General features: G+C 37.3%; 1 protein-coding gene across 29 annotated transcripts in view, besides 1 other annotated feature; it reads right to left on the bottom strand.

The window, feature by feature from the left end:
* The window catches only part of ROBO2 (roundabout guidance receptor 2), a 1743290-nt gene that overhangs the window by 1147368 nt on the left and 568692 nt on the right, over window positions 1-27230 (bottom strand). The window lies entirely within an intron of this gene.
* Window positions 4496-5129: an enhancer, noted in NCBI's record as "OCT4-NANOG-H3K27ac hESC enhancer chr3:76546619-76547252 (GRCh37/hg19 assembly coordinates)". NCBI's record gives its function as "activates a minimal SCP1, AML or CMV promoter by ChIP-STARR-seq in primed H9 embryonic stem cells {active_cell/tissue: H9 hESC(primed)}" and the evidence as "EXISTENCE:reporter gene assay evidence [ECO:0000049][PMID:30033119]".

Here is a 27230-nt window from a genome sequence, read left to right as displayed (position 1 = left end):
CACAAACATTAAAAATTAAAATTAAAAAATTTAAAAAGAATGGATGAAGCAAATTTCTAGTTTTATTTCTAAGTAAAATGTCAATCCTAAACTTTAAATTTTATTTATATCAGTGGAGCACTTGCTATATTATTCATGGTAAATAAGTTTACATCAACCAACTTAAACTACTCCTATTTCAGTAGTGCACAGTGCATTTATACTTTAGAGCAAAGAAATGGAGCATTCAGCACATATTGCCACAAATTTGTTCAGGTGGAACAGGATTGGGTGACATAACAGTCAAGTGGCAACCATGGTGTGACAGCTTATAGACAGGCAATGAAATGAAACTTTGAAGGGAGGAGCAGCTGTATTCTACTGTATCCTGCAATTAAAGCTATTAAGGCAGAAGAAAATCATCTTTATTTCCACCTTCATGATTCTGGGCTGTCTCTGCATTGTCCTAACAAAGCCTGATGTATTATATCTTTCACAAAACATAATTGATGTCATGAACACTTTAAAATTAACACTGTATCATATATGCTTCTGAAAACCATATGTATTATTATAAATGTTTGAATATTAAAGATTATGGGAGTCTATTTTAAAAGTATCCTCTGTGGCAAAATGAGTAGTTTTGAAAACTTTCAAATTAATTCCACAATAGTTGAAGTTTTGATCAATCTCTTCCAGAAACTATAAAAATAACAGTGTCCTTTTGACAATAAGTCAAACAGCGTACATGTAAAAAGGCTGGGGGTGAGGCTTGCTGTTAGACGTGAACTACTCCCACCCCACTGAGTATACTTATTTTCTGTACCCTGTTAATATAAAATGTTATAAAAATGATATCCCTATATTTAATTCATAGAGTTGAGCCTTTCTAATTAAATCTGTTTCATTAAGTAAGAGAAAATACAGTGTAGGATAAAGAAGCAAATTAAAATACAGGCTCTGAATTCTGGTCAAAATTGAGTTCAAATTCTGGCTCTGTCACCTATTAGCTAGGAGATTTTATTTAACATGAAAAGATTGTTGCAGTATTAGATTTAGGCCATTTTGTCTGCTACTACTCCACATACCTGGCACAACTGAACACTTAATAATACCTGCTGAGTGGAAGAATGAGTTAATGATTAGCCTTGAAAGAAATTTAGCATGGTATTTGAAAACTTATTTATATTACCATCATTTCTGACTCGGATTCCTCTCATCTCCTCCACTTTCCACAGTAGAGGATTGGGATAATATAATGGGCTGAAATTTATCATTACTGGAGTATTTGGGTCCAATTATTATACATAGCAGAGACTTTGATCCCTCCCTTGAGAAGACAAACCAACAGTGGACATTTCTCTGAAGTATAATGCAAACTAAACAATTTATTTCAAACTTTGAAAGAACTTTAAGAGAAATAATTTATGTCCCTCTCCAAAATAAAGTTAACCTTCAAACTGATAAAATCTGGTTTAAAATAAAATCCAATTCTGATACATAATAATACAGTGAACAGTGTATAAATAGATGCAATAATAGCCTTTTGGCATTCATTTCCAGCTTTTCTGATATTTTGCAGGATAAGTTATGAGATTTATGACAAATATGCTTCCTAGCCCTCCCTACAGTGTCAAGCCAGGCCTTCTAGAATTATGACACAGCCTGGGAGCTGCTGTACACAGGACATGTCAAGTGATGATTCATAACCCCTAAAAAATAGCATTTCTTTTGAGGAATGCTATACTGGATACCTATCATTTTATTAAAAAATGATACTGTTTTTATTCTTCCCTTGTTCAAAATTAAGGGGAAGGATCTCAGAAAATTTTGAACCGCGAAATCACCATGCAAAGATATCCAACTTCCAACTTTATCTTCTAGAACTGACTTTAATAAAATAAAAATTAACTTTTATCTCATAGATTTTTGAGTAATGTGGAGAGCTTTCCAGAGCTGTCACTCTGTCATAAAAAAACTGATGTGACTGCTTTTGTGAAGAATGTGACAAATGTGGTACCCCCTTCTCCTTTGTCTGCAGAGGAATTTATTCTTTAAGGAAAGGAGGAGCTTCTGTGTTGACTTTGTTTTACAGGGTCACTTGCTGTTGGTCCTAGGGTAGTTAGGCACTTCAGGAATCACCTCACAGCTGCCCTTGCAGGGCTATATATTACATTCCATATTTTCCTTTAAAATTAACTATTTTGCCAGGTGCGGTGGCTCACACCTGTAATCCCATCACTTTGGGAGGCCCAGGTGGGTAGACTGCTCCGGAGTTGGAGACCAGCCTGGGCAACATGATGAAACCCTGTCTCTACAAAAAGTACACAAATTAGCCAGGTATGGTGGCCTTCGCCTGTAGTGTCAGCTACTTAGGAGGCTGAGGCAGTAGGATTGCTTGATCCCAGGAAGTCAAGGACGCAGTGAGCTGTGATTGTGTCATTGCACTCCAACCCGGGTGACAGATTGAGATTATCTCTAATAAAAAAATTAATTAAATAAAATAAACTATTTTTACTGTCCCCCCACCACCCCAAGTTTTAAAACCTCCCCTCCACCGGTGTTTGGGTGTTTGACTCTCATTCCTGGATTAAATGAAAAAACAAATTCTGAGTTTTAAACCTTTGGCCAGGTCTTTATGTAAATAAAGTTGGCCAAACCATTGTGTCTCTGTTCTTTGATAAGGTCTAGTAATTTGCCCTACTTATTTGTATATCAGCACACACACGGGCTAGCTTGGAACCATCATTAAAAAAAGGAGAATTCATAGTCTGTAAAGCAATGTAAAATTGTCTCCATTGTAGATCTTTAGGGGGATTTTTGGAGATGACATAGATTTTAGGAAGTTGTTTCTCTCCATTGATATAGTTTTAATGTATACTCTTTGAAATGTCTGTTGCACGTACATGTGTGTCTTCACATTTGCTAACTCTGACTCTACTTTCAGTGTTTGGTCGAATAGTTACCTGTAACAGAATGGCTGCAGGAAGAATGAACAGGTGCCTTTTCATTCTTTGAAAAGATCTCAAAAGAGACTGATTGGGTGATCAAAGCCTACAGTTGATTTCTTTTCCATAATGTTTGTCCAGAAGGAATAATTTAGGACTTGAGAAATGTACTCCTGAAAGTCAAGCCATATGTTATTTGAGAAGGAAGTGGAGTGTATTCTCCAGATGATGAAGAATAGAGGTTGGACATTGGGATAGAGAAGCAAAGCTTAGGGCTGAGGAGTGTCAACAAAGGGACTCCTATACAAGATATCATTTTTTCACTTCACATTTTCTTTGGAATCTAGGGACAGTCATATGTAGCATCCATATTTAAGTTTTTTTATTCCTGTATTATATTTTCCCCTACTTTTCAGTAAAGGGCATTACCTATACAAAGCCTTATGTTGCGGAGAAATTGAGGGAAAGGACAGTGGCAGGTGTAATCTTCCAAATATCATCCCTCCAATAAGGTCATGAGATCAGTGGTAGCATCTTACTAAGAATGGATTTAGTTTTGGAGTTCTGGGTAATGAGCAGGAGTAAGGTAAAGACTAGGTTGACCTATGAGGGGTAGAAAGGAAAACCAGATAAATTTAAGTGGATGGGGTGTATACAGACTCATGCATTAAAAGCAGACAAACTGCTGGGCGCAGTGGCTCAGGCCTGTAATCCCAGCACTTTGGGAGGCTGAGGAGGGTGGATCATGAGGTCAGGAGTTCAAGACCAGACTGGCCAGCCTGGTGAAACCCCCTCTCTACTACAAATACAAAAATCAGCCAGGCATGGTGGTGGGTTCCTGTAATCCCAGCTATTCAGGAGGCTGAGGCAGAGAATTGCTTGAATCCTGAATCCTGGAGGCGGAAGTGGCAGTGAGTCGAGATTGTGCCACTGCCCTCCAGCCTGGGCGACAGAGCAAGACTCTGTCTCAAAAAAAAAAAAAAAAAGCAGACAAACTAAGAAGAAGCAGATGTATGTTTGGTTACAGATGTATTGCTTGTTCAAAAGTTTATATGCCAAGATTCTCTTTAATTAATAAATTTTTAAATTGACAAAAATTATGTATTTCTTGCATAGAACAGAATATTTAGAAATATATATTTATTATATAATTTCTAAATACAGCTAATTAACATATATGTTACCTCACACTTATTTATTTATTTGTGGTGATAATGCTGAAAATCTACTCCGTTAGTGATTTTCTAGAATACAATATACTGTTATTGACTATAGTGACCACATTGTACAATACATCTTTTGAATTTATTCCTATCTAACTAAAGTTTTGTATCCTTTAACAAACACCTCTCCAACCCCACACCCTACTGCGCCCCCAGCAACTACCACTCAAATACATTGTAATGCCTGGTAGAACATCATACAATTATGTTTCAAATAATTATGAGTTATAGTATTTCCAAACTCTTGTGCCTAGTAATTCATTCACTGAGAAATAATGTTTGGAGTACATATACACTTTTTGAAAAAATATATGCCAAGGAATTTTCTAGGTGCTAGAATTACAACACTGAACATACCACTGAAAATTTTTTCTTCTTGAAACCTATCTTCAAATTGGGAAGGCAGACAATGAATGAGTAAACAAAGAGGTTTAAAATATAGTGTAAGGGAGTGATAAGTTGTGAAGACAAATAAAGCAGGTTAAGGAAGAAGCATTGGCTTATGTGATTGCAGAGGCTGGAAAGTGCAAGGTCTGCAAGGCAGGCCAGCAGGCTGGGAATGCTGGAAATGCTGGGAATGCTGGAAATGCTGGGAATGCTGGGAATGCTGGGAATGCTGGCAGAAGTTAATGTCTCAGCCTGAGTCAAGACAGACCGTGGGAAGAATTATTTCCTGTTTGGGAAACCTGAGTCTTTTCTGTGAACACCTTCAACTGATTAGAGGATGCCCACCCATATTATAGAGAGTACTCGGCTTCACTCAAAATCTACTGATTTCAACGTGACTTGCCTGTAACTACCACCTTCATGGCAACATCTAGACTTATATTTGCCCAAATAACTGAGCACTACAGCCTAGCCAGGGTGATGCATAAAATTAACCGTCACACAAGACAAGAGATATTATTTTAGGTACAGTAGTTGGAGAATTCCCCTTTAAAAATGGGACATTGCCCAGTGTGGTGGCTCATGCCTATAATCCCAGCACTTTGGGAGGCCATGGCGGGAAGAAGGCTTGAGCCTAGGAGCTTGAGACCAGCCTGGGCAACACAGTGAGGCCTCATCTTTAAAAAATTAAACAAAATTAGCCTGGTATGCTGGCACATACCTGTACTCCAGGATACTTGGGAGGCTGATGTGGGAGGATTGCTTGAGCATGAGAGGTTGAGGCTGTGGTGAGCCAAGATCACACCACTGCACTTCAGCGAGGGAGAGAGAGACTTTTAAACAGAGGCATGAAAAAAACAAGACAGTGAAAAATAGCCAGAGATCAATCATTCCAATCAAAGAAAAGTATACGTGCAAAGGCCCTGAGGCAGGAGTATCTGGCAGTGTTTGAAAAACAACCACATAATGTTCATTGTGGCTGGAGTGCAGTGGGCCAAGGAGACAGAAGCCACAAAAGGTGATGTGGCCTTTTAAAGACTTGCTTCTTTTTAAAGCAATGGGAAGTTTGTAGAGTTTGGAGCCATAAATTGCATGAACTGATTTGGCTATTAAAAGGTTCATTGTGACTATTATGTAATGAATAGACCATAGAGGGGCAAGAGTGAAAGCTGAAGCACAAGCCACAAGTCTATTGCAATATTAGATGGTGGATTGGGATGCCATATAATAGTATGGTTGATGAGAAGTGGTCAGATTCTGGACATATCTGGAAAATAGGTAAAATGGTTTGCTGATATTTTGGGTAGGGGTTGTAAAAGCAATAGAGAAATTAAAAAACTCTAAGGTTTTGGACTTTAGCGGTTGGATGAGTGGTATTGCCATTTACCAACATGACAGAAACTGGGGAAGGACTCTAGGGAGTCAAGATTTCAGCTCGGAGCATGTTAAGTTTAACTTTGAGATGCCTATTAGAGATCCACACTGGGAAATCAAGTAGGCAGCTGGATATGAGAGTCTTGGGAACAGGAGAAGTACATTTAGAGGTTTTCAAAATATAGAAGCAAATAAGCCTTTAGTAACATATGAAATTTTCCAGGGATGTATAAAGGTAATAGGTCCTAGAACAGAATCTGAGGCATTCACAAATCACTTATTTTTCTAGATGAGATTTAGAAACATTGTGAAGGTACCCCCTAGAGGGGTTTTTATGGAAATTTTGTTAACTTTATAGATTAATTACGGTCATTCTCTTTTCTTAATCCATCTATTCATTTTTCTCTGAAGATGAAAATGAAAGAATTGAATTTAAGAATTACAAATGAAACTTAAAGAATGAAGAGTGATATTTGTCACGTGAAGATGAAATGGGTGAGGAGTTGGGTAGTATGCCAGACATGTTTTATAGATGAATCTATTTAACTGTTACAACAATCTCGAAATGAAAATTATTCCATTTTATAGATAAAGAAAATTGAGGGCTTGTTGAAGTAAAGGAGTTTGCTCAGTCATGCAACATTTTGCCTGTAGGCAGACCCCAAAGACAACTCTGGAAATGCTTCCACTATACGATGTTACTTTTCTGACCTCAAGAAGTACAATATGGCTGTTAATTAAATTCATTACAAAATATTAATAGGCATACATTTCTTGAAACACTCCACTTCCATAGAAACATAAAACCATGCATCATTGTAGTAAGAAATGTCCATCACTTTTCTAAATTATTGATGTAAAAGAAATACCCAGACTGACACTGGATTTATCTCACACATGGATTTCATATTTTGTATTCTGATAACATAGTTGTTCTTCATTACGTATGAGACCTGCTGTAAAACCCCATTATGTGAACATTTTCACCCAGTTTTCAAGGGCTTTCATAGCATACCTTGTTGTCCATGTTTCTTCCATATGCTTAAGGATGCTTTAAAAGAAAGAACAGAGCACATACAATCTAAAAAAAAAACTAGAAAATGGTCTATAGCCTAAATGATCCAGAACAAAAATAATACCTAATACTAGAATGGAGAAAGATTGATGATTGCTAGTGAACAAATGATTAATCATTTAATCTCATCTGACTAAGTTAGTAAGCACTTCAGTGGTAAGACACTGAAGTTTTCATCGCTTTTCACTTACTGAATATGAGGCTGTCTCATGGCATTAAGACATGACAGGGCGTGTTTTAGCACTCCATTAATACACAACTCAGGCACACTCAAATATCTTCAACCACTAAATGAGATATTAATTAACCAATAAAACATAACCTAGGGCAGTTGGAGGGCTATTACATTTTTTGTGTGTGTCTTAAACTCCAGAATCAGATAAAAAAAAAAAAAAAAGGAAATGAAGATAAATACAAAGCACTATTAAATTTGTAAAAATTAATGGTATACTAAAGAGTTAGATTCCATAGGCTATATTTGTCTTCATCTATTTACAAATGTTAACTTCAAACACACGTGAGGGTACTTTCCCTGTTTTTTAAAAATTGAGGTGAAATTTTAATAAAATGGAATTAAGCATTTTAAAGGACACAATTCAGTGGTATTCAGTACATTCACAATGTTGAGAAGTCACCACCTGTATCTAGTTCCAAAATATTTTCATCACCCCAAAAGAAAACCCTGTACCCATTAAGCAGTTGCTCCTAATTGTCTACTTCCTCCAGCCCTTGGAATCTCTAATATCTCTTCTGTCTTTATGGATTCAGCTATTCTGAATATTTCTTATAAAGGAAATCATACGACATTTGTCCTTTTTTGTCTGGCTTATTTCACTTAGCGTAATGCTTTTGAGGTTTCTCCACATTACAGCACAAGAGTAACAGAATACGCCACCCCAACTTCTGCCAGTTTGGCATAAAGATTATTTTGTGCTAAAGTCACTTAAAGAAACAGCAGGTACAAAGGCACTCAAACGCTCCCCTTTTTCTTCCTGAGAACAGGAGATAAAAACCCCATATGGAAGATCTCCTCCCTATACCACAATGAAAAGAACATTATCATCAAGGATGGGAAGTCGAGACCCCCAAAATTCTGTACAAACAGACCTTGTTAAAATAATTCTATCTTCCTTTAGCCTCCCCCCGTAGTTTAGTTACTTGCCTACAATTGCATGTCTTTGATCAATGGAGTATAAAAGTATGTAGGTTTTGCCACTCTTTTCCATCTTCATTTCTTTTGAAGACTCCTGTGTCATGTAAAACGTGTATTAAGTAAATGTGTATGCCTTTCTCCTCTTAATCTGTCGTATGTCAGTTTAATTCGCAGGCTCAGCTAAAGTACCCTAAGAGGGTAGAGGTAAAATTTTGCCTCCCTTACACATGAATCAGTACTTCCTTCATTTTTATGTGTGAATAATATTTCATTGTATGTATATACCACACTTAGTTTGTCTACTTTTCCATTGATGAATACTTGGGCTGTTTCCACCTTTTATCCAATGTGGTTGGCGCTACTGTGAACATTCACGTACATATCAGCCATTGTGGTTGGTGCTGCTGTGAACATTCACATACATATCATCCTTTTAGCTGTTTTCAATTGCTTGGGGTACATGCCTGGGAGTGAAATTGCTGGATCTTATGGACGTACTTTAAAAGCAGATTTCCCCTCAATTTTGTGTTAAGTATCTCTTTAGATGCATTCATTTGTGGAACAAATTCAAGAAATCAAGCTTTTAATTAAAAACAAATAAAAGGAATAAAAAATTACTTTCTGTTATTGAGATCTTTCATGATAACTTTGAGAAGAAAGGGGAGATGCATTCAGTGCCTCGCAGAGGTACAAGACAAAACTTTCCTTAGCAAAGGGGTCAGGGACCAGCAGTAGAAGGCTGTGCTCCAACAGCTTTACTAGCTTGGGAACGGAAATCGATAGTAAATGGAAAGAGATGGCATCAGTGAATGTCATCAAGAAAAACTGAAGGCTTCGCATAATGTAAGATGTCAACATAAAGATATAAAATTTGAAAATGCAAGGAAACATATAGGAAAAAATAATATGTTTTAATATTTTAGTGGAAGAGAATGAACTTTTCCAAAAAAATTGGATATGGACAAACAAGACTAAAATAACAGCCTAAAGCAATCTTTTAATATTTTGATATGAGACTCATCAAGAAAGTCACTGGATGGACTTTTCTTACTGTTGTGTACATGAAATCTTTTTTGTACATGTATATACAATTATATATATATATATATATATATATATAATTTTTTGTCTACATGTTTTGGGTTCAAGTGCTAAGATATGTTAATACCACAGGTTTGTTTCAGAGAAAGAGACAAAATAGTGCCAGGTGTCAGGAAGACTTGTGCTGTTGGCTGAGCTTAGCAACTTGAAAATAGCTAAAGAAACAAAAGAGGCTAAGAAAGTGCGATGGTTGACAGCAACAGTCAAATACATTTCTACCTACTTTTAAATATTGAGACAGCCACAACGCTATGCATATGTGCAAAAACATGCCCCAAACATGTCATTCTATTTCATTGCCTTTTTCTATTTTAAATACGGATGTCTCTTCCAGTGAGTGCAAATACTTCAACTGTGAGGCATTATATTTTAGAATTAAATTATTTTAAAAACATAATGTAATTATAACCAATGTACAATGTAAAAATTAAATTATAAAATCATAATTACATGATTATATCCAATTATAAAACTACTATTTAAAATCGTTATAAAAATTGCTAGAATGTTACTATAAAATATGAAGAAGTCATTCAGTCGTGTTCTTTCTGCTGTGTTTGTCATTTTAGTGGAAAAACATGGATAACTGGTCAGAAAGTCCAAGTTAGTTGAATGAGGATCCTCCATTTACTCTAAAAAAAAAGCTGTATATAGTACGTCGTTAATGGCTAATTCATACAAGACGATGGACAAATCAGGTAAAAACAGTAAGGCATTGAGAAGTTTGACCATATGACAGCAAAACTCAGAAACAAAGGAACTGAGTTGATTATTTTTCCTCCCTGTTTTTTTTTTCTTTATGCACTTTTGAAAACTAAATGTCAAAGTTCTTATTTGTGACAATTTTGCCATCTAAGACAACATGTGCAGTAAGTTTCCTGGAAACCGGAAGTGAAGGATGACCTTCACAATAATTTTTAATGCTGCCCTAGAAAGCAACTGGACCATGGGCAGAGTCTATGAGAGAACATGCATGGTCAAAAGGAGCGAACACATAAACAGGTCATGTCTCGTATCTTTAATATACCAGGCAGATTGTTTTGATCAACAAAGCTAATTCTCATCTATTCTCAATAACAAATATTGAAACCAGATTGATAAAATTAAACAGGTAATTTTAAAAGCCTAATACAGCCCAAAATTGAAACTGCTTTTATCACTGAGCCTATATTTTAAATGTGCTAATAATAGCTAACAACACTAGATTAAGTTTTGGGGGTGTTTTTTTTTGTTCGTTTTTGAGATGGCGTCTTGCTCTGTCGCCCAGGCTGGAGTGCAGTGGCACGATCTCAGCTCATTGAAACCTCTGCCTCCCCAGGTTCAAGCGATCCTCCTGCCTCAGCCTCCCCAGTAGCTGGGACTACAGGCACACACCACCATGCACCACATCCAGCTAATTTTTTTGTTTGTTTGTTTGTATTTTTAGTAGAGACTGGGTTTCACCATGTTGGCTAGGCTGGTCTTGAACTCCTGAACCCAGGTGATCCTTCTGCCTTGGCCTCCCAAAGTGCTGGGATTACAGGCGTGGGCCACCGCACCTGGCTTGTTTGTTTCATTACCAGTCTCCAGTCCCACAACCTACAAAGTACTGAGGAGAGGGAAAAGAGGGGAGAATATAAGAATAAAAATATAATCTGAAAGCTCAAATTCTCCTTCCAGAAGGAAGCAATGTTTGACTGTAATGAATGCATTTTCTTAAGAAAATTTTCAATATAGGTATAATTTTTCAATGTAATAATGCCTAAACAAGGGCAAAACAAAGGTAGAATATCATTCTGTTAATGTCATATACACCAGGAGTTGCTTAAAAGAGTATATGCCAGGCAGCACATTTCTGATTTCTGTTTTATCTAATCCATTCTACAATTCACATACAATGCAGCTAGTTCTCCAGTAACTTCCAAGTTCCTTTGCTAACTCAGTCTCTCTCATTCTACTTAATTGTGAAGTACTTTGGGTTTATAAGTAGAATGAGTGATAGTATGTGCATGCAAGTATTAATTTACAAGATGAGAGGAAGACTGAGCATGGAATGGGATAAGGGAGATCATATGCTCTACGGCTGATGTGATGGTGCCTATTACTTTTTTTTAAAAAAATTAATCTTAGGTCGGGCGCCCTGGCTCATGCCTGCAATCCCAGCACTTTGGGAGGTCGGATCACAAGGTCAGGAGTTCAAAACCAGCCTGGCCAACATGGTGAAACCCCATCTCTACTAAAATTACAAAAATTAGCCAGGCCTGCTGACACACGCCTGTAATCCCAGCTACTTAGGAGGCTGAAGCAGGAGAATCGTTTGAACCTGGGAGGCGGAGGTTGCAGTAAGCCAAGATCGCACCACTGCACTCCAGCCTGAGCAACCCAGGGTGAGACTCCATCTCCCCCTCCAAAAAAAAAACAAAATTAATCTTCATTGAGGATCAAATGAATTAATTCTGTTCTATTTGCCTTTTATTTAGGGGAGTTGTTCTATTGAATCTTCTTTGGTCTGCTATTTTTAATCTATTGATTTTTAAAGCTTTAAATAACCCTAAATAAAAATGTGGACTACAGGATATAAGCCATAAGAAAGCTCAGAGACACATAACTAATGCGATAGACATTCAACACTTTCTTGTCTCAAATCTGACAGTTTCTGTCTGTGGTCCTCATTCTGAGATTTTCTCAAGTTTGGGGTTGCATTTTTTTAAATTAAAAAAATATAAAAATGTGTGTCCTTTTTCCATGAACAATTTTATCATGGCGACATATTAGAGTGGCAAGAGTTACTTTCATCACTTCTCACAGTCCTGAAGCGTAAGCACTCCAGAATAATTCTTAACCTCAGTATAGTGCTTCCTTCTGGCAAAATGTGAACTCTTTTTCTTTGTGTCAAATAATAAGCATTTCGCTTTGCTATTAAAACTTACTAACGATAGACACTACTAACACTAGGAAACCAAACAGATTTGTAAAAATCAGAACTATTGGGGTTCCATTGACCCAAAAGGAGAGAAGACTATTCATTCTGCAGCCAACTCTGCCAAAAATGTTCAACATTGATCTGCAATTGAATCATTACTGTCATACAATCCCACTGAGAAGTGTTTTAGGTTGTGACAGCGAGGACAGGCATCAATCCTGATTTTCTTTAACTTTAGTGATGGGGATCCATCCTTTAGCTCTGAGAAAATAGATAAAAAATTTCTTTCGTCATAAAAAGGAGGAAGTGGAAGGTAGAAAAGACTGTGACATTTTAAGGAACAAAAGCCTTCCATACCAAAAAGGGTGGACATAAGCAAAAGCATTTGGCATTTAGGAGAGCATTCTTATTTTAAAGAAAATCTTTAAACAACAGCCCAGGATAATCACAGATGAGCAGAGCAAATAATACACTTTTGTTTTATTTTTGAAATACTCATTTCAATTTAAGGCATGTCCTAATGTGTTCATTTTGAAAACCTTAAAGAAAAAAATGTTTATTGAAAGGCTTTTTGTTTTCAGGTATATTTTCTTTATAATTCAATAAGTGCAAAAATACCTCATTAAAATATTAAAATGTTTATAAAAGAATATTTATAATATCTTTTTTATTTTAAACCATATATCTTTATGTACTTTTGGCAGCTTTTATAATTGGTTTAATTCACCTAGATTTACATATGTAAAAGTTAAAAATTATCATTTAATACAATTATTTTGCTCAAAGTAACAATAACTCAAATAAAATTTTGAACTCAAATGGCCATGTGAGAAGTTATAAATAAAATAATTTTTTAATTATTCATGAGACTATGCATTTGCTGATGATGTTTGGTGAAAACTTCTTACTACTTACTTACTTCACTTTGGAACCACAAAATTATAACATTTTAAAGCTGGTTGAGAATTCACTGTGTGGTTTAACTTTGTAATTTTGTACATGAGAAAACTGAAACCCATACACTTTAAGATTCTGCCAAAAATGTGTGGCTTGCTCAGGCTATTGGGATCAGAACTCTAGGCTCTCCTCTTCTAGTTGAGTGCCCTTCCTACTATATCACTGTGGCTTCCATTTATCCTGATATTTTTAAGGTAAGAGCAGGTAATTTCCCATTTCAGCAATGAACAGAGTATAAGTTCTCATCTCTTATAAAACACATCCATTACAAACATTTTTTCATCAGAGCCACTGAGAAATGTTTTAGGTTGTGACAAAACCTAAAAGAGGCCAAAAAAAAAAACAAAAAAAAGAAGTCAGTACCAGTGTTCTAATCATCAGATTTTTTTTTTTTTTTTTTTTTTTTTTTTTTTGAGACAGAGTCTCACTCTGTCACCCAAGCTGGAGTGCAGTGGTGCGATCTTGGCTAACTGCAACCTCCACCTCCTGGGGTTCAAGCAATGCTCCTGCCTCAGCCTCCCATAATAATCAGATTTTGCCCTCTCACCAAAAAGAGGAAGAAGAAAAGTAAGAACTGCACAAAAATAAATACCACAAAATCGTCCTTCTAGGTAGTAGGACAAAGGCTATAATTTCCATAGTAAACTTGATTTTCTAACTTTGAATGTAGGTGATTTCAATAAAATCAGTTCTAGGGTTTTAAAGGCAAATTCCTGACACACCCTTTTTTGTGTGTGTGTCCTTTATCCTAGACCCCCTGAATTCTCAAATGGCCTCCAAGATATCTGCTCCCTATGGATACGGTGGGATATCACTCCAGGGATTATGTTCTTTCACATGGAAAAAAGGATTTTGGGAGATATAATTAAAGGGAGAGTATTTAGATAGGATGGACCTTATCACATGAGCCCTTTAAATCTGGGTCTAGAAGTCAGTGGCAGAAGAGCAGAGATTCAAAGTAGCAGCGATGTACCCCTCCTGGCTTTGAAGGAGCAGCTGATATGCTGTGGAGAGGACCACACGGCAGGCAACGGCAGGTCTTCTCTAACAGCAGAGAGAGGACCACATGGCAGGCAATGGCAGGTCTTCTCTAACAGCAGAGAACAGTCCAGCTCAACAGCCAGAGAGAAAACAAGAACATCAGTCCTACAGCCACAGGGAACTAAATTCTGTCAATGTTCTTAATGGGCGTGGAAGAAAGCCATGAGGTCATAAGATAGCCCCCAAAGAACCCCTTGAGGTCTTCCAAGTAAACTGGGCAAAGAATTCAGTGATGCTGTGCCAAAATTCTGACCCACGGAATCTGTGAGGTCATACATTTGCATTTTCAGCTGCTAATTCGGGTCATTTGTTACGCAGCAATAGAAAACTAATGCAAACCCTTTCACTTTGAGGCAGAAAGGACCTAAGTTGACCCTGATTATTCGTGACTCCCCGTGTTTATATGGTTGTGTAATCCTCTCTCCTTAAGTGTGAGTGTGGTCTGAGACTTGCTTCTAATGGTAGAATATGGCAAAGGTAATGATGTCACTTCTGTGATTGCCATACATTGTATAACTACCTTTGCAGGCTAAACTCAGAGAGAGTCTCTCTTGCTGGTGTTGAGGATGTGAGCTACCAGGTTGTGAAAGGGTCCACGGAGATAGTCATGTGGAATTGTGGGCAGCTTCTAGGAGCAGCCAGCCAGCAAGAAAATGGGGAATTCAGTCCTACAACTGCAAAGAGATTAATTCTTTCAGCTACCTGAGGGAACTAGGAAGATCTTTCACCAGTGGAGATCTGATGAGTCTCTGATGAGTCTATCGCTGCAGCTGGATTTCACCTAGAGTGCAGGCTTCTAGGACTCTAAACAGAGAACCTAAGTAAACTAGGCTCGAACTTCTGCCCTGATAATATGAGTCAGAGAGAAAGTATTATGACTACTGGTGTTTGGCGTGTTATTTCCTGGACCACTAGGCTTACTTTAAAATCTTAAACAGAAGCTCCATTTGAGAAGTTTTACTAAAGTATTAGAAGATTCATTTATTGTTGAAATAGAAAATCTATATATTTTTATCAGAATAACATTTTTAAAGATAGTAAGCTATTATATTGGTTCCATTTTTTTACATTTTTACATACGTTTTTATCCCCCTTTTAAGCCCATAGGTTATGTCACTGAGGTCCACTATCATAAAAAGGATGTGACGGGACAGAAAGCAGAACAATATGTGATTCTCGCTGGGTGCAGTGGCTCACTCCTGTAATCCCTGCACTTTGGGAGGCTGAGGCAGGAGAATCGCTTGAGGTCAGGAGTTAGAGATCAGCCTGGGAACAAAGAGAGACACTGTCTCTACAAAAAAAAAAAATTAAATTAAAAAATTAGCCAGGTATAGTGGCACACACCTGCAGTCCTAGCCACCCGAGAGGCTGTGGCAGGTGGATTGCTTGAGCCCAGGAGTTCGATGCTGTCATGAGCTATGACTGTGCCACTGCACTCCAACTTGGGGGACAAAGCGAGACCCTGTCTCTGAAGACAAACAAAACAAAAATGTGAGTCTCTGGCTTGGGTATTCCAAAAGTTCTACTCCCTTATAACATTTAGAGGGTTTAGGGGATAACAATTATTTAGAAAAGATATCAAGGACACATAGGAAAAATGTTGAAAAAGGAAACCTCATAGGCCTTAATTGCACCCTGTCTGCTCTTCCATTCATTACATGACAATGGAGAGAAAGAATAATAATATCATACATTTTGTTTCTGAGAAAAAGTATTAGCTATCATTTTGAGATTCAGAAAACTGCTAAATAACAGGAACATAAAACATCCTTTAGAATTTGCCCTCATACATTTATTTTGGTTTTTCTAATATTTGAGAAGACTCTCACTGATCCTTGCCAAATGTCATCATAAGACATTTCAAAGATATATGAGTTTTCATTATCAGATAACCAGAGATTTTCTGAGTAAACATTTTTTTGGAAAAAAATATTTGTTAGAAATCCTGCAAAGACCTCAAAAACCCAACTCCCCTTACGTAAAGGATAGGTGTTGCATCTAAACCACCAACGCTGTTCAACATTGTCATGACTCAATGTGCGTCAGTTGTACATACGACAGATGAAAATCCCTCTGCGTAACCACCGAGCATTAGCCTAGAAAGTGACATAACTTCAACCCAAGGTAGTTAATCGTATAGAATCACTCTAAGGGCTCTCTGCATAAGAGCTCAAGTCTGAGTTCTTCCTTCTCCAGAAAGAAGACCTAAGCAGTTCCAACATCATCTTGACAATGCCCCTGTGGCTGCTAAGTCCTTCCCAGAAAAAACTACAAGTATTTATGTCACACTTTGGAGTTCACCAAGCAGGTTCACAGGTATTATGCCACCTGATTCTTTTTGCAGCCCCTGATGATAACAAAGGCAGGGCTTACTTTACAATCTTATAATTACTGGACCGGAGATGGAGGTGAAGATGGCTTGCTCAAGATGTTGTAGCTGGAGAGTGATTGAACTGAGGTGCAAACCAAACCTTATGAGTGACATCTCATATAATTCTTTCATTTTCTTTCTTCCATGTTTCCATATTTTGGTCTAGTGAGAGTTTCTGGAGTTTAGAATGGTGAGCAAGGAAAAATGTGAAATTTTGTTTGTTTGTTTCTTTGTTCTAACAAATTGTTGTTATTTTAAGATCCACGACTATAGTCTTAATTTACAGAGGGCACACCAAAGCAATAGTAGCCTACTTTATTTTTTTAAATTATAAAAAGCAAAATTTTGTATGTAATCTGGTTCTAGACAGTTTTACTTCAGTACAAACAGCAACCCTTACCTGTGAGAAACATTTTAGAAAAAGGCAGAGATGTATAGCCTTTGCTCTGAAAAAAACAGGTGACACCTATTTCTCAAAGTAGGCTCACACAAGGCAAAGGTCTTTCCACATTTTATGGAGGGAGCTATGAGTATATAGCTTTTCATATAGCAGAGTTCCCCAACCCCTGGATCATGGACTGATACCAGTTTGCGGTCTGTTAGGAACCGGGCCACACAGCAGGTGAGTGGCAGACGAGTGAACAAAGCTTCATCTGAATTTACAGCCTCTCCCCATTGGTCACATTACCACCTGAGCTCTGCCTCCTGTCAGATTAGCGGCAGCATTAGATTCTCACAGGGGCATGAACCCTATTGTGGACTGCGCATTCCAGGGACCTAGATTGCGTGCTCCTTGTGAGAATCTAGTGCCTGATGATCTGTCACTGTCTCCCATCACCCCAAGACAGAGCCATCTAGTTGCAGGAAAACAAGCTCAGGGCTCCGACTGATTGTACATTATGAGAATTGTATACTTTTTCATGATGTATTACAATATAATTACAGAAATAAAGTGCACAATGAATATAATGCGCTTGATTCATCCTGAAACCATCCCCGCCACCACCGTTTGAGGAAAAATTGCCTTCCTTAAAACTGGTCTTTGGTACCAAAAAGGTTGGGGACTGCAATTGTACAGTATTAACTTAGCTTAAATAAATAATAAGGGAATAGGACATAAAGAATGAAAAGCACAGATAGTTGACCAAATAGGGCCCTGCGTAGTGACAGGATTGAGAAAAAATGTCCCTAGTTAATAGGATTTTTAGGGTTTTATAATCAATATTAGTAACTTTTTTATGTAGAAAATTCTCCTTTTATTCTTTTTTAAAAATTTTCACTAAATTAGATAAAATGTTTTCTTGCTGGCCTGTAGATATAGGCCAAACAGAGAACTAGCTACCACTTGAAATAATAAGCAAGAAACACTAAAATTTTGGGTATAATAAAGCAGCAGAAATCTCGATTGAATAACCTAACACAAATTATCCAGTTCCTTGGCACTGCAGCTATTACAAAGGAGGTAATTACGTTCAAGCTTTTAGAAAATTTAACCTATAATGATCAGAAAATAAAAATTCACTAATTTCAACTTCTCCTGGGGAGAGAGGAGTATTTGGCTTTAAGTTGTTAATTCCTGCATTCTGTTGAGCTTTCCGTGCTGCATAGCCGACTCCCCACTTGACTGTGGACTCACTGAGTTTAAGGGATGAGCATTCCTGCCCCTGAGCACAGTTGCTGACACACAACAGATACTTAAGTGTTTTTTTCTTATTTTTTAAATCAAAATTTAAGCTTATTTTAAAAGCACATATATTTTACATTAAGAAGAAGATGTAGCCCTACCAACCATTTTTCCCTCTCCAATATTCAGAGCACATATTTAGAACATGGCACCAAGACTTAAAGGCCAGTGGATCATTATTTTAAAAGTAGTACCTGTTTTTGCAAACTTTTATTTTAATGTCAGACGTACAAGTGCAGGTTTATCACATAGGTAAGCAGAATGGTGATTCCTCAAAGACCTTAAGACAGAAATATCATTCGACACAGCAATCCTATTACTGGGTATATACCCAAAAGAATGTAAATCATTCTGTTATAAAGACACATGCATGTGTACGTTCTTTGCCACACTTTTCACAATAGCAAAGACGTGTAATCAACCTAAATGACCATCAGTGATAGACCGGATAAAGAAAATGTTGTACATATACACCATTGAATACTATGTAGCTATAAAAAAGAATGACATCATGTCCTTTGCAGGGACATGGATGAGTCTGGAGGCCATTATTCTTAGTAAACTAACACAGGAACAGAAAACCACATACCGCATGTTCTCAGTTATAACTGGGAGCTAAAGGATGAGAACTCATGGACACATAGGGAAATAGCACACACTGGGGCCTATCAGAGGGTGGAGGATGGGAGGAGGGGGAGGATCAGGAAAAATAACTCATGAGCACTAAGCTTACTACCTGGGTGGTGAAATATTCTGTATAACAAACCTCTGTGACACAAGCGTTCTTTTCCTGAATGAATTAGAGTAACTTCAAATGTGTGATGTAGACTTTAACATTCTGGTAGAGATAATATGGATTCTGCATATGGTAGTTTCATATTCAGTATTTATATATTGGTTACATATGCGACTTGTAAGGAGATGGTATAATGGATCCTTATTAATAATCATAGTTAATTGGGTACTATGCTCAGTACCTGGGTGATGGAATCAATCACACCCCAAACCTCAGCATCACACAATATACCAAGGTAACAAACCTGCACAGGAACCCATGAACTTAAAATAAAAGTTGAAATTGAAAAAAAAAATAATGACAGTTAACATGTTACATACAGAAAACAACATGTAATAGAATTATTACAAATGTAATAAGAGTTATTCTATACAACAATAAAATAGTGGTATCATATCTCTTAGAAAAAATATCTCCAAAAACAATTTTAAATATCCTTAACTATACAGGGTTATAAGCACTATAGTTCCTATTAGTTTAGTTTTGTAAATTAAAAAAATAAACAGCCAATACAATAGTATCAGATATAGCATGAAAGTAACTTTAGAACAAAATCCCACATTTCCATTTATCTCCCTAAATGAATTTTACCACTTTAAATACTGACAATTTGTTTAAATAAAATATTAATTTGAGGATGTTGGAAACACAGAAATTATTGCTGAAAACATCACATTAAGTAACTGAGTTTGTAATAAGTCCCATATAAAAGCCAGCTAACCCAATTTTGCAAATTGCTTGAAATTGCAGATGAAGATATTAACAATTCTTTTATTAAAGGATAAAGTGACCATAATACCCAAGGCACTACGCTGATTAAAGCAGGTGCAATGGAAGATAACCCATAAGCTTCATAATTCCTTGGATAATAGATCAGTGATTCACTGTAATGTGCTTATTAAGCAAAATGGAAAATTGGGTCAAATTAGACAGTGAGATGGAGTTGTCCATACATGACATGGCTTGCCACGGAGACAATCAGAGTGACATTTCTTAACCTACGTCTCTAGAGATAAGATACTTGGCATTAAATTAGTCAGTTACCTAACCTTTTGGAAAATCTACGACTGTGATCAGTAAAAGAAAATTGCATTAAAAATGGGCAATTATAGTATCCTTGTAGGGGACAAATTTTCCTTCTATAGTAAATTGAAACTCTGCCTTGTTGCAAAAGTAAGGGCTTAGAAAAAGACACTAATGGTTTTTGCATAAATTAATGTACCTAACACACATCGTCATGGTGGCTGTTCTGGGTAGCTGTAATAAACTTGAATATTCATGGAAGAATAAGTCCTCAGAGGACCATTGTAAGATTCTAATAATTGTTGATATCAATCATATTGTGTCAGTTTTTCTGAAATGGAAATATTTAATTGTTCCATGAGGCAAAACACTTATTTGTGTTTGAAAAGATGACATGAAATAAAGGCATACCTGCAGAGCGTGATTCTATGTTGGCTATTAGTTAGGGTCACATGCTGGGAAATGAAGTGGGTGGTTTGGCAGGGGTTTTCTGGCAGCTCCTATTCAAGATTTGGCACATCAGGTGTTTTCTTTTCATGTATGAGGCCAACTCTGGTTGGGGATTCTGACTTATTGAATGCAAGGACCTGATGCTGTCTTTCTTGGACATCCTGAGGCATCCTGACAGTCACACAGACAGGGCAAGTGAAAATATATTTGGTGAGAACAAGTAACTGTTTGTATTCTGCCTGGATGAAGAAAAATCCACTTTTGGGGAGATCTTCAGGGTCTTTGAACAAGGCCACCTAATCACCTCATTCCCCTGAACCCTCCAGTCAGTCACACTTCTGTGTGGAGTGACGCTCTTAACTTTTACTCTTCCTCAGTGGTTCTCAAACCTAAACCCACATCAGAATCATCTATAGGGTGTATTAAAGCACAGATTTCTGGGATTCACTCACAGAGTTCCTGGTTTAAAAGGACTGGGGTAGGGTCCAAGAATTTGCATTTCTAACCAGCTCCCAGATGATGCTGATGCAAACTTTAAGAGATATTGCTTCCGCATAGCTACAGTGGTATAAGCTTTGATTCATTCATATTGTCCTCATTCATTTATTGAGATATGCATTGACCATGCAGTAAATTATATCAAGACACAGATGTCTATACAATGAATGTGCTATAACTATGCACATTATCTTCTCATGTTCCAGTTGCTCAGTGTCTTCTTGCTACCCTAACCTTCCAACACAGTGATGCCTCCTCTGGCTTCTATATCCCTGGAGGAAATTCAATTTCAAAATGGTTTCTTTCCCTAGTTTTTCATTACTTTCTTTTTCCCTCCCGCAATTACAATTTCCATTTACTCAATACAGATGATATCATTTATGTCCAATGAAGAAAGCAGTCTACTTAAACTAATACATACTAATGTTTGAGACCCAGCTTGAGTGTTCACATTTAAAAAAGATGCCTCTGAGCCAACATCAATTTCAAAAACCGCGACATCACAAAGTGAAAACTTTCAGGTCATTGAGACGCATTTCCTTGCTCATATCTCCTATCACTGGGTATGGCTAGTCAAAAGTGAAGATGATTCATCTAGGCACACAGCACTGAACAAAATGAATTGGCTGGGGCTATTTGAGATATTTAATAACTCCATACAATCTCTATAAAATTTATATTTTCAATAATGTGTTGCCATATCCCCTGAATCAAAAATTGAAAAGTTGTAAGACTCTTGTGATAACCAATAAATCTGCTTTAACATCTGTTCTTATTGAGAATGTTTCAGTAGGATATTGATATTTCTATCAGGTGAAAATATTATCTTTGCTATAATCTGAATGTTTGGGTCCACCCAAAATATGTATGCCCAAATTCTAACCTTCATGGTCTTGGTATTGGGAGGTGGTACCTTTAGAAAGATATTGGGATGCATGCCTTTATAAAAGAGACACCCAAGAGCCGAATCACCTCTTCTACTGTGGGAAGACCCAGCTGGAAGGCACTGTTTATGAACAAGTACACAGGCCCTCACCAGACACTGAATCTATCACTGCCTTGATCTTGGACTTCTCAGCCTCTAGATCTGTAAGAAAAAAGTTTCTGTTGTTTATAAACCTCTCAGTTTGTGGTATTCTTGTTAGAGCAACCCCAATAGACTAAGATAACCTCTTCCATGACAAAGGAAGCCTGCATTTTAGGTAAATATATGACAGTGTTCTCCTTAGACGTCTATATGAGAAAATTACAGAAAAGCAGTGAACCCAAGGACACCCAGAGCTCATTCAACCAGAGGCCATCAGCAGGGCCAGTTTTCAAAATTCATTACAGGCACAAAGCACATTTTCTTAAAGAGGAGTATTCTCAGAATTTATATGAGGAGGATATCACTATTCTAGGAGAGTGAAGAAGAAAAGTGAATGTGTAATCATTTAATTAGATATTCAGGAATAGAAACAAAAAGAATTGGCAAGTATATCGAATGATGATGGACACAATCTGTAGGAATAAATAACTTATGGTGCTGATACCTCATTGCCTCCTCCTTCACTTTCCCCTCTTTTCCTCTTTTTCAGCTCCTCCTCATCCTCCTTCTTCCTCCTTTTTCTATTTAAAAAAGCTACTTTGTATTTTGTTGTTCTTTATTTTGGCTCTGTCCAGTAAATATCATCAAATCACTAATTACCAACTTCATTCACTCATTTGCTGGTTTCAGCCAATGTCTAAACAATTGAAAACAGCAGAGCCCGTATGGTTGCTTAATGCAAACTCTTCTAAAACCCGAATTCCACCAAAGACATTTTATCCAAAGTTGGACACTGTCTGTTCCTAAAGGTGAGACCCTGGGCAAGTCACTGAATTCCTCTGGGTCTCAGTTTCATCACTCAGCAAGTAGTTGGATGAGATAATTTTCAAATCTGAAGCTTATATTCCATCCTGTATTTTCTGTCAGGATCAATTATTTTGCAAAATTTTTCCTCAGTTGTAATAAAAGCCTTTATCTTCTGCTGACTGCACACTACTCTATAAATGTTTGCTTTCAGCACTAGTACTTGGGGCAATTTCTTTTACAAGTGGTTACTTCAGTATAAGCTGGAAATATTATAAACAGAGCCAGCCATGCAGGCAGCATGTGAAAGATTTTTATGGTAAAATTTTGCAGAATGTATTTAGTCCATTTACATTCTGTCACTGAAGCTTATAAAACAAGATAGGAAAGGCAGATTTTCATATTTCCTCAGGCAGAGGTCAGAAGCAACTTTCAGAGGGAACTTGAAGTTTAGGCAAAAATCCAAACACATAAAAGCACAGCCATTTTAAAACTAGTAAAAATGAACTGTTACTTGGTATAGCAGATGGCAATATTTTATGAACCATTTTGTAACGTTATAGAATTCCCAGCATCTACTAAAATCAAGCTTCATGAATACCATTAACAAACCTACTTTGCTTTTGCATGTGGTATTTCTAAGGGAAATGCTATATTGTGATCCTTAAAAAGAGTTTGTTAAGATATGTGAAAGGATTGCCTGATGTCTACAAAGGCAGGTGAGAACCAGGCCATCTTAATGCAGCAGAGGCCATTTTCCCATGCTACAAACACACCATGATATTGAAGTTACTATATCTCTGTTTTAAAGGAACTTTCTAGTTAACAGTGTGTGAAGTTAGGCTGGATGTGATGGTTCACACCTGTAAACCCAGGATTTTGGGAGGCCAAAGCAGAAGGATCCCTTGAGGCCAGGAAGCCAACTTGGGCAACATAGGGAGACCCCAACTCTACAGAAAATAAATTAGCCAGATGAGGTGACAGGCCTGTAGTCCCAGCTACTTGGGAGGTTAAGGTGGGAGGATTGCTTGAGCCCAGAAATTCAAAGCTGCAGTAATTATGCCACTGCACTCTAGCCGAGCTGAGAGAGTGAGCATGTCTCTCAAAAAAAAAAAAAAAAAAACAGAGAAAAAAGTGTGTGATGTTGGATAAATGTTGGTTAGTATGCAACTGTTTAATGCACATTTAATCAACTAATATCTGGATCTATACAATTGTTAAGGGATCATTTACTATAAATTGCTAGTCCATTTAGAAGTAGCAGCTGCTTGAATTAATTTTTGTGTAAGGTGTAAGGAAGCGATCCAGTTTCAGCTTTCTACGTATGGCTAGCCAGTTTTCCCAAAAGACTTGGAACCAACCCAAATGTCCAACAATGATAGACTGGATTAAGAAAATGTGGCACATATACACCATGGAATACTATGCAGCCATAAAAAATGATGAGTTCATGTCCTTTGTAGGGACATGGATGAAATTGGAAATCATCATTCTCAGTAAACTATCGCAAGAACAAAAAAGCAAACACCGCATATTCTCACTCATAGGTGGGAATTGAACAATAAGAACACATGGACACAGGAAGGGGAACATCACACTCTGGGGACTGTTGTGGGGTGGGGGGGAGGGGGGAGGGATAGCATTAGGAGATATACCTAATGTTAAATGATGAGTTAATGGGTGCAGCACACCAGCATGGCACATGTATACATATGTAACTAACCTGCACATTGTGCACATGTACCCTAAAACTTAAAGTATAATAATAATAATAATAATAATAAAGAAGTAGCGGCTACTTATCTGATTGGAGGAATTAACTTGGGGAAAGGCTGAGAAGTTTTTTGAATGGAGAAATGACATTCATTGTGAGAGGAAAATTGCTAAATGTATTGCACTATGTATTTATAAATTCCCTCATTGGTTTCTGCAACAAATGTAGAAAGAAATGGAAGAATTTAGAGAAAAAAGGTTTTTAAAGCCTGTGGAGATTTTTTTTTAGTAGTAGGACATAAGGAACAGCAGGAAGAGGGGTATTTGATTAAACTGAATGTAAGCAATGACGAGGAAGGAAGAGAATGAGAGTCTGGAAGTTTGAAGACTGTGGATAAATTTGAGCAGCAGCAAAAGGTGTCAATTTTAAAATAAAAATTAAGAGCAGTTAGATCTTACCTTTTAAAATTTTTTTAAAAATGGACATGTTATTAAGATAGTTTTGAGTTAACTTGTCAGAGAAACTAGAGGTATAATGGCTTTCATATTTTTGAATGACAGAAATATTAATTTGATCATTCCCTATGGTTTCATATACAACATTTAAATACTGTATTTTGTTGTAAAACTTGTTTGCTATTTCTATAGCATTGCAACTGTCATATTCTTATGCTTTGAGTATAAGCTACACATGGAGTAGGGTGCTGTTTAATCATAAAAATATTTATAATCATCTGATTTATAATTTGGAATGGACAATGCTTATTATCATTCCTAAGTGACAGATTGGCGAGAAAAATATGTTTTTTAATCTTTCAACTCCTGGTCTAACCGAATATGAAAGAATCCTACCCATCATCTTTTTACAAACATAGAGGTGTTGGTTCATAGTTATGATATAGGATCAGCAGCAGAAGAATTCACCTTTACTGAGAACTAATTTTACAAGTCTGGAAAAGAAGCTGTGTATGATTCCTGTGGTTTATTTTCATAGACACCTCCACGGAGTAGACAGGATCATTTGCATTTTACAGCTGAGGCTACACAGTTTGACTAAGGTTATAGGTCATATGTCCAATAAGCCAGAATATGAACCTGGTACTGCCTGACAGTAAAGTCCACGTTCTTTTGATGGTATCATCTGGGCTACCAAACAATGCCACTCGGCCCCATTCATCTGCATTACCTCTGATAGATGTCACTTGGAGTTTGCTGCCTCCAGACATGTTCTATAAAATCATTTTTTTTCCATTTTTTCCCAAGAATATAAATTAGGTGTGATCAAATCTCGTTTGGTAAAGATACCATGGGAACGTGGCTGTTTGATACATCTGGTCATTTCCGAAGTTTATTTTAAAGTAGCTCAGCCTGACTGTTAGCCCTCTGTCCAGCTATAAATAGACCCTTAAATCCTGGGCTTGTAGATTCATGCCAATAGTGGCAGAAAAGGCCGCCACCTCTCCCAATCACCCTGGATTGAACAGTGGTACAGCGCAGGAACAGAGGAGTGACTAAATTTTATCCATAAGATATTTCTTCAAATAAGCAGCAGCTCAAAGCAATAATCTGTCCAGCAAGTAGGTGGAGATGTCATTATTTTTTTCAATAAAAAGAGAACTGTTTCAACAGACAGGTGTTGTTTCCGACATCATCAGAGAGGAAGGTGGATGGATCTATACGGTAAGCATTCTACCCCTCAGCTGCCAGGGACAGATCCATAAAAATCCAAAAAGGGAAGAGAGAAACAGCTTGAGTACAGCTGAATCATTCACAACAATATTACAAGCAATTACTTCAATGGTAAAGTCTCCAGTCTAGACTTAAGAAAAAAGGGCAAGAGCAACATTGAGGAATAGCTGTTAAAGACGAAGACTAATAAAAAAAGGAAGGGTCTGGGATAAAGCAAAGTTTTGTTTCTTTGGGTTTTTTTGTTTGTTTGAGATGCAGTCTTGCTCTGTCGCCCAGGCTGGAGTGCAGTGGCATCATCTCAGTTCACTGAAACCTCCACCTCCGGGGTTTAAGTGATTCTCCTGCCTCGGCCTCCCAAGTAGCTTGGATTACAGGCGACCACCAGCACACCTGGCTAATTTTTGTATTTTTAGTAGGGATGGGGTTACACCATGTTGGCCAGGCTGGTCTTGAACTCCTGACCTCAAGTGATCTACCCACCTCAGCCTCTCAAAGTGTTGGGATTACAGGCATGAGCCACGGTGCCTGGCCAAGGCAAAGTTGACAAAAGCATCATGTGGGAATACTCTTTCTTTACCCCGTGAGGGGACTAATAGAATTCTAGCACTCGACTTAATGGTGATGCTCTGAGGGAATCTCACGTCTAACATTATAATGAAACATCTCTTGAATTTTCTCATTTAGGTTACTTCACGTCTTCTTAGAATAAAATCAGCAAAAATGTTTGAACTAGTTGCATGTTATTAAAGAGGTATTTTACGAATACTAGTGGGTCCAGGTATAAGTAACATACAGTTCATTTCCCCCTCCCCCACCCATACACATTTACTATCTAGTTGAAATTTTTTTTAATGAGGAAATATATTTAATACAAAAGGTTCCAAACCTCATTGGCAGAGTGATCCTTTTAAAGTGAAAGTCAGATAATGTAAGTTTTTCTGTCAAAATATTTTCTGGCTTCCCATCTCGCTCAGAATAAAATCCAACATCCTCACCATGGCTGCACATCACCTGGTCAGTGTCTCTCCTTGGCCT

Source organism: Homo sapiens, chromosome 3 (genome assembly GCF_000001405.40).
Source record: "Homo sapiens chromosome 3, GRCh38.p14 Primary Assembly".
Lineage (NCBI taxonomy): Eukaryota > Metazoa > Chordata > Mammalia > Primates > Hominidae > Homo > Homo sapiens.
The sequence above is the reverse complement of the archived record's forward strand: the minus strand, read 5'-3'. Positions and strand labels throughout refer to the sequence as shown.